The sequence below is a fragment of the Homo sapiens genome, chromosome 16, assembly GCF_000001405.40.
Source record: "Homo sapiens chromosome 16, GRCh38.p14 Primary Assembly".
Lineage (NCBI taxonomy): Eukaryota > Metazoa > Chordata > Mammalia > Primates > Hominidae > Homo > Homo sapiens.
The window spans coordinates 83,853,325-83,862,324 of NC_000016.10; the positions used below are offsets into that span (position 1 = coordinate 83,853,325).

At 46.9% G+C, this 9,000-nt stretch overlaps 1 annotated feature.

Annotated features, from left to right (window-relative positions):
• Window positions 1,166-1,366: a silencer, noted in NCBI's record as "peak2652 fragment used in MPRA reporter construct". NCBI's record gives its function as "represses an SCP1 promoter by STARR-seq MPRAs in K562 erythroleukemia cells {active_cell/tissue: K562}" and the evidence as "EXISTENCE:reporter gene assay evidence [ECO:0000049][PMID:32103011]".

The window sequence follows — 9,000 nt, forward strand, 5'->3', positions numbered from 1 at the left end:
GACTCCTCCCAGCCCTCTCCACTCAGCGTTCAGTCTCTCCTTAAGTAAAAGTTGGTGAAATAGTTAAAGAACATGAGTTTAAGGGATTCCAAGGAGAATTCTGCTAGGATCCCTATATATCTTTGTTGACCTTAATGGTAGATTTCGGATTTCACGACCCTGATGCAACCAAATAACATATTTTTGTCATGAGAATTCTATTTTTCCAGGCTTAATCTTTTATTTTTATTTATTTATTTATTTATTTATTTTGAGACAGAGTTTCTCTCTTGTTGCCCAAGTTGGAGTGCAATAGGGCAATCTCATATCACCACAACCTCTGCCTCCCCAGTTCAAGAGATTCTCGTTCCTCAGTATGTAGCTGGGATTACAGGTATGCACCACCAAGCCCAGCTAATTTTTATATTATTAGTAAAGACGGGGTTTCTTCATTGTCTGTATTCGTCAGGCTGGTCTCGAACTCCCGACCTCAGGTGATCCGCCAGCGTCAGCCTCCCAAAGCTGGGATTACAGGCATGAGCCCAAGACTGGTGCCCAGCCAATCTTTTAATTCTATGAAGGAAAATCTATTGAGGAAACCAGCAAGGGCTCTTAATAAAATGTTTGTTGTGGGTGTTTGTTGACTGCTTAACCAACACGCATGCCCTCCCTGCCCGTCTCCTCCGGGGCCCTGTGGGGAATCCACCCTCCCCCATCCTCAGCCATGTGGCTTGGTGCGGCCGACCCTGCTCTCAGCAGGAGGTGCGCCCCATGGACTTGAACCCAAGTCTTGTGGGTCTAGCAGTAGAACACAGGCTCAGGACGGAGGTTGCTGTGTGGCCGTCAGGAGTGGGCAGCCCCAGGGTAAAGCTGGTATCAGAAGAGGCAGAGCCCAACTTGAAGGGTCTTTTGAACCCTGAAATGAGGCCCTGGGAAAGCAAGGCCCATGCGTGCTTCAGATGAACATGCTCACGGGTAATGAGCCAAGGAGCCGTCATTCAACACACCCTGGCCTCTTCATTTGGTTCTGCCTTGGAAAAACGGAGCCATCAGTGAGGCAGCGTCATTCTTCTGGGGTAATACCCAAAGTTTGTTGCCTCCTGCCAAGGAAATCAAGGACAGGGACACACGTGGAGTGAGGTTAAGAGTGGAGGTTTAATAGGCAAAAGAATGGAAAAGAGAATAGCTCTCTCTCCTGCAGAGATAGAGGGGTGCCTGAGTGGGTCTTCCGGTTTTGTGGTGAGAAGCATGGGGTTTTATAGACAAGCTCGAGGCTGCGGTGTCTGATTTACATAGGGCGCAAGAGATTGGTCAGACCAGGTGTAATGTTTGCACAGCGCCAGGAGAAGCTGGTCACCCAACCCTAATCTTTTATTATGCAGATGGGGTCTCTGCCTGGCTGGCGCCATGTTGTCTGTTCCTTACTGTACACTTGGTCAAGAAAGAAAAGGGAAGATGGAGCCGCCATGTCAAACATGCCTGTCCCCCGGTAGCCTTTTCCTATTGTCACAGTGGCCGGTATTCACCTATGCAACTTTCCATCCTGTTTATGTTTGTAGCTCCATTTTACTGGCTGCTCTTTGTTAGAAAAGAAATGATTTGGGGGCTGCTTTTTGTTAAAAGGGAAACCTTACCGAGGACTTCCTTACCCTCACTATCTGCCTAAATAATTTCTTTTTAACTGCTTTATCAATTATCTGCATTACTTAGGGTGAGGAAGTCGATAATGAGCCAATTATTGATAGGCATACGCCGTGAAGCCGACTGAAAATATCACCTGAGGGCTTTGGGAGAATGATTGCTGTGTTTCTTAGAGCAATGACCACACAATTCCAGCTTTCAATTCCTGGTGCCACGCAGGCACTTTGCAGCCATGTAAGCTGATGCTTGCCCTTTGGCTCAAGCCAGTTGAAGGCCTCTCTATCGCTCCTGACATACAGAGGCCAAAGCAACCCAACCCGGTGTCAACCCCGGGCTGACACTAGAGGAAAATCTACAAGCCTGGAGGATCCACAGAGCCTCAGACCTCAAATGCTTGTCCCCACAGACCCACCATCCCCTGGGGAAACCGAGGCCAATACTCACTTTCCCCACCACACAGGGGTTGAAGGACACTGCTCCCCATCCCAAGCTCCAAACCAGGGGAGGACACACACAATCTTCCCTTAATTCTACCTAGCATCGTGGAAGACTCCCACAAAGACTCCGAAGCGTGAAAGGGAACGTAGCAGAACTATGAAGTCCCATGCAGGAATTATGCTCTGTGGCCACCATCAGAAGGTCTGGATCGGGTTCCATCAAGGTTGCTGATGGATCTGAGGGCACTGCCAGGCATGGTGGCTCACACCTGTAATCCCAGCATTTGGGGAGGCCAAGGTAGGAGAATCACTCAAACCGAAGAGCTTCAGACCAGCCTGAGCAACATAGTGAGATCCCATCTCTACAAAAAAAAAATTTAATTAGCAAGATGTGGTGGTGCATGCCTGTAGCCCCAGCTACTCTGGAGACTGACGTGGGAGGATTGTTTGAGTCCAGGAGGTGGAGGCTGCAGTAAGCCATGTTCATGCCACTGCAATCCAGCCAGGATGACAGAGCAAGGCCCCATCTCAAAAAATATATATACGTTTTTGGGGCAGCCTGAAGACTAGAAGGGGGCTAAGTTGGGGCAGAACACTGAGAGGACTGAGCAACTGCAAAGACAGCACCCCTGTGTTTGCAGAGAATGATCACAGAGGCCAGGCTGCTGCCCCAGGGATGATCGCTTTGACTGCGAGGATCACAGTGGACAAGGCAGGGTCCATAGCCCAGTGCTGAATAACAGAAAACAGCACAGACGGCGAAGAACCCCATTCATCCTGAGCAGTGAAGACCTCCAAAAAATAAACCCACTTTGAGAAGTCCGACCATCTCTTACACTGTTGGGAGAGAGACGCCAATGTCAGTTTTAAGCAGCAAGCTATCTTCTCTTCCGGTGGCAACAGAGTAAAAATACCAGAGAGCATGTTCCCTTCAAGTATTTAGCTTCACATAACAAATATTTATTGAACACCCAATATTTGCAGATACTCCTCTGGCCTGATAATATGGAACAAGGGTTCGTCTTATACAAGAAGTGGATGCAAGCCGCAGATCCACCCTATGTTGCCACGAAGCCACTGGCCCCCACACTCACAGAGCTGTGACAGGTGTGCGTGCGCGACAGCTCATAGGTCTTACGTTTAGCTTGTTAATGAGGATGAAGCTGGATGGCCAGAGCACACCCAGGGAGTGACTGTGGTTTGTTTAATTAAACAACAAGAGAATGGTACAAAAATCAATACTCAATTCCATTCTCAAAGCCAAAGACACCCAAATTTTGCATAGGTCATGGGTGCTTCAGATGAACACGCTCCCAGATAACAAGCCAAGTAGCCGTCCCTCAACCTACCCTGGCCTCTTCATTTGGTTCTGGCTTGGAAAAATGGAGCCATTAGCTGCGTTAGTGAGGGTGAAGAAATCAATAATGAGCCAATTATTGATAGGCATATGCCGTTAAACAGACTGAAAAAATAACCCGAGGGCTTTAGGAGAATGATTGCTGTGTTCCTTAGAGCAATGGCCACACAATTCCAGCTTTCAATTCCTGGTGCCATATTCACCAAGATTTATGGGGCTTTTGTAATACCTAATTGGGATTGGTAACAATACCCGAGCCTCCACCCCGTGGAATGTTTTAGGCATTTATCAAAGCCAGATGAAAAGGAAGGAGGAAATAAAATCACACTCAATCCTAGAAATATAGGGAAGGGCCCTGGGGGCAATTGAAGGCCTGCCCTGCACTATATAGAAATTGTCTCCTTTAATCCTCACAATCAATGTATTGCTTCTCTCTTGAAGGTGGTGAAAATGAGGCTCAGAGAGGTGAACTTGACCAGTGTAACTCAGCTGAAGAGTGGTAGGATGGAGATTCGAAAGAACGTCTGATTTAAAAGGCCACGCCCCTCCTACTGAACCTCATTCCAGATTTTCTAAAAGCCCTGATATTTTCTTTATGCCAATAAAATGCTCATAGACTGGGCAGGGCAACAAGATAAGGAAGAAGGGGAAGGGGCTCGATAAGAGTATGATTTGCAGCCAGGCGCAGTGGCTCACGCCTGTAATCCCAGCACTTTGGGAGGCCGAGGCGGGTGGATCGCAGGTCAGGAGTTCGAGACCAGCCTGGCCAACATGGTGAAACCCTGTCTCTAATAAAAATACAAAAATTAGCTGGGTGTGGTGACACATGCCTGTAATCCTAGCTACTCAGGAGGCTGAGGCAGGAGAATTGCTTGAACCTGGGAGACAGAGGTTGCAGTGAGCTGAGACCACACCATTGCACTCTAGCCTGGGCGACAGAGCAAGACTCCATCTCAGAAAAAAAAAAAAAAGTATGATTTGCAAGTCAGGTATAACACGTCAAGAACAACTGCCCCTCCAACAGTACTATTCCCTCCCTTCATCTGGACCTAATACCTTACTTAATACAACCATTCGTCACATTTACTTTATCGCCACCACATCCCATTGCTGGTCTGAAAGTGCCTAAACCTCCCACCGATATTCCGTAGGAATTTCTGTTAAGGTAGGCCTCCCCCATCCTATTTTTGTGGGGGTTGGGAAGTATTATGAGACTACTTCTTAGCATTCACACTCTTTTGATTTACTCCAGCAGGTCTCCAACTTGCCTTTCCACCTGCTAAGATTTTTTGAATCTTAATTCTGCCATCCAGAGTAAGAGCCCTCTCTTTGTTCTATGTAATCTCCAGATCTGATAAATATGCTTGTTTCAACCAAGACAGGCAGACAGATGAGTGTGCACATGAAAATAAACCATCAAGAATGACTTCTGTGCAACATGCCGGCACTTAGCCAAGATGGGCAAATCCCTGCCAAAGTTCTCTAACTCCTTCTTCCAGTGCGTTCTAACCAGTAATGGTGCAAAGCTCCTGTCCGTCTAAGTATCCAAGGCACTTTCTTTAGCCTGTTATAATCCTTGACTGCAAGCCCCCTGAAGGCAGGGGTTGTGTCAGGTTTTGCTCACCCCTGGGTCCCCAACACCCAGCCTACACAAGTGTGCACACAGATAGGTGACGAATGAATGAAGGGATGAAGACATGATGCTGTGGTGTCACTCCTCACTCTCCACCCACACTGTACATCCATCAGGGTGGTATGTTTGCATGTAGCCACTCCTATTGGGTTTTTAGTGGTGATTCTTGAATGGGAAAGTTGTCACCTACCCCGGGGGGGACTTTGGAAGTTTGTGGGGAGTTTTCTGCTTGTCACAATGCCTGGCATGAACAGTGGCCTTCAGGGGGATGCTAGATATTCTGCAATGCACTGAACAGTCACAAAGAAGACATAGTCGCTCATGTCCTGCAAGACCCTCTGTTATTTCAACAGGCATCCATGAAAGAGGACAGTTCTGTTTGCAGGGCATCTTTTACACAGTTTTAATGTACATAGAATACACTAGTTTATACTTTAATGTGAACGAGTGCACAGGTGAGCGGGAAAGATGTAGCAGAGACCTACAAAGGAACCTCCTTCTGGATACAAAAAAACAATGGAGTATGCAATGGGAACGGATAAGAGGAACTCAGAGCCCTCCAAGTGGACAGGGGAAGGGTTCCTTGAGGAAGTGATGCTGGAGCAGGGAAGGTTTAACGCAGAGTAGGTATTCATGAGGGGAGGGGAAAGCAGAGTGAGTCAGGCAGAGGCAACAGCATGTGTAAAGGCCCTACAGCAAGTGGGACAAGACATTTCAGACAGATTATTATTTTTTTCATTCTGCCTTCTGTTGTTGCTGATTTATGTTCAGGTCTGATCCCCACATTGGGTTGAAAGCTTCTCAAAGCCAAGACCATATCTTAGCCATCACTCTATCCTTCCCGGACCTTGCACGGTAACCAGAACCCAATACACACTCAAAATATGTTAGTTGTCATTGATGCGCAGGCAGGAGATACTCTAAAGACCAGTCCATCCTGGGGGAGGGGTAGCAATCAAGGCTCCCAGGTCTCCTACTGCTTCTTTCTTTTGATAAATTGCAAGCGGGAGATCAGCTGATCAGGAAGACCTTCCTGCAGTGATCAATAGAACTTGATTCCCTAGCATTACCTGAAACATGTGACATGTGACCCACACGTGATCAAGGGTAAGCACAGGTCTGAATGACACTGATTTCAATACAAATGAGGTAACTCGACCTCAGACACAGCACTGTATTTTGTTTTTGTTGTTCCGTTTGTTTGTTTTGAGACAAGGTCTTGCCGTGTCACCCAGACTGGGGTGCAGTGGCACAATCACGGCTCACTGCAGCCTCAATCTCCCGGGCTCAAGCAGTCCTCTTGCCTCAGCTTCTTGAGTAGCTGGTACTATAAAAGCTCATATAATTTCGTATACGCCCAGCTAATTTCTTATTTTTTTGTAGAGACGAGGTCTCACTGTGTTGCCCAGGCTGGTACCAAACTCCCGAGCTCAAGCGATCCTCCCACCTCGGCCTCCAAAAGTGCTGGGGTGATCAGCATGAGGCACCATGTCCAGCCCAGCCCTCTATTTTGCAATGGAACTATTTAAGATGCAGAGAGGAGTGGAGAGGAGGGGTTACAACCAGCTGTCAAGGCCACTCTGCTCATGGTTGGCTTTGGGGCTTCAGAGGAGGAGGAGCCGGTCTTTGTCCTCTGTTTCTTATTCCCTCTAAGGAAACTAAAGGGCTTCTTCAGACAGAAAGAACTACTGAGGGACGAGGAAAATGTTCCAGGGCCTCTTGATGCCACCCCACAGGCTTTGAAATGCTCACTATTACCCAATCATAAAGAAAATGCCATTTTGGAGATCTCTGTGTTAATTACCATCATTGGAGAGACATTATCTATATTTACATAATAGCTTCCCAGGTTTTCCTAGTTTTGAGTCAAGCTAACAAATTTGTAGCTATTATGGAACACAAATTGCTCTGGTATGTTTTAAATTCTGCAAATGGAAAACCTTGCCTGTTGAGGGAGGTGGCTAGACCCCAGAACAATTAGTGTCTAATAATTCGTTAATGTCGGAGATGCTCAAAGATACAGTTTTAAATGCCTACCTTAATGTCTTACGTGCAAAAAGAAAGGCATTTGAAGAAGCCATCGTCGGGTTAGGCACATTAATACGATTAAATAATTTTGTGAAATGTAAAAAGCTCCTGTTACGTCTCTAAAAAGGGACAAATGAAGCCAGCATCCTTATTTTTATCACTTAATTTCCCTGCTTGAATACAAATGATTGGCTGATAATTGCTAATTGTGGAGGGAGGCAGGTGGAGGACCGCTGGATTGAGGGGAGAGGTCAAGGGTTGAAACACCCCTAACTGGGAGTGCACGTGGTGAAGGCTGGTCACCAGGCCTGCCCAGGGCACCTGTGCTGGAGAAGTCACCGTACTGCTTGGTCTGAGCTCCTGCAAGCTCCAAGATGTGAGCTTATCAAAACCTGGTGAGGACTCACTTGACTAGGGTCAGAGAAGCTAGCGCAATCATAGGCAATGATGTTTTCTGCCCAGTACCCTTCTCTTCCGATAGAGCAGCTCCCCTTCATCTAACGCAATGGTTCTCCCACCCGATGGTGCATCAGGATCACCTGGAGGGCTAGTTAACCAGATGCTAATTCAGCGCCTCTGTGGTAACCCCCAAATGCCCTATCAAGTTCCCAGGTGATGCTGATGTTGCTGGCTTGGGACCACACTTTGAGGATCATTGTGTTGGGGGAATTGATCCTTATGGAATCAGTGTTAACCTTCAGAGAAGGCCATGTGATCTACATCGGGCTTTCCCATTGATTGCTCTCAAATCTGAATAAAAGATGCCTCTTCGTTACTCATGAAAAAATGTGAATCTGGAAACTGGATCCAGCTCATGGACAAAGCTGACAGAGAGAATGAAGACAGTGTGCAGAGAAGGAAAGACAAGGGGAAGAGGAAGGATTTCTCGTTCCAGCCCTGATGCCTGTTCTTTCTAAGGTTTGACCTCAGCTAATGAGCTGCCCTTTTTGCCTGAGGTAGTTTACAATGTATTTCTGTCACCTGTAACCAAGAGAATTCTGACTGCTACAGAAGGGCAAACAAGAATGCCAATTTATGAAGATACAATGAGGCTGTAACTGACAGTGGCCTCAGTGTCAGTAGAGTTTTTCACTGAAAGAGGCCAGACACAGTGGCTGACGCCTGTAATCCCAGCACTTTGGGAGGCCAAGGCAGGAGGATCACTTGGGCCCCGGAGTTCGAGACCAGCCTGGGCAAAATAGGGAGATCCCTTCTCTACCAAAAAAAAAAAAAATTATCTAGGTGTGGTGGTGTGCACCTGTGATCTTAGTTACTCAGAAGGCTGAGGTGGGAGGATCACTTGAGCCCAGGAGGTGGAGGCTGCAGTAAGCCGTGCTTGTGCCACTATACTCCAGCCTGGGCAACAGAGTGAGACCCTGTCTCAAAAATAATAATTTAAAAAATAAAAACAAAGTCTTTTGCTGAAAGAGTTTAATAGGGTTACCAGATAAAATTCAGATAAGAAATAATTTTTTTAGGGTAAACTATGTCCCAAATATTGCAAAAGATATACCCTAAAAAAATCATTTGTTGTTTATCTGAAATTCAAATAACTGTACATCCTGTGTTTTTGTTCAATCTGGCAACGTTAGCTTAGGAGCAAGGGAGACCTAGGTTTGCCTCTCAGCTTGATCACTGACCATGTGACTGCGGCCTGCATCTCCCAGGCTCCCAGGGCAAGCTGGTCTGGTCAGTGGAGAGGTCAGCAATGATTGAAGGGCAGGAGGAAGAGAAAAGCCACAGTGTTTCTGGGCCCATCTCTGACGGTGGCTGCCTTCCCTCCAGGGCCCCAGCTTCAACTGAACAGCCCACCATGGATCCTATTGGTACACGTATTGCTACATGTATCATATTGGTACATGTATCATAAAGGTACGTATTTTGACATTTTTCACCCAAGATCTGTTCTGTTTGTCTGAGACTCC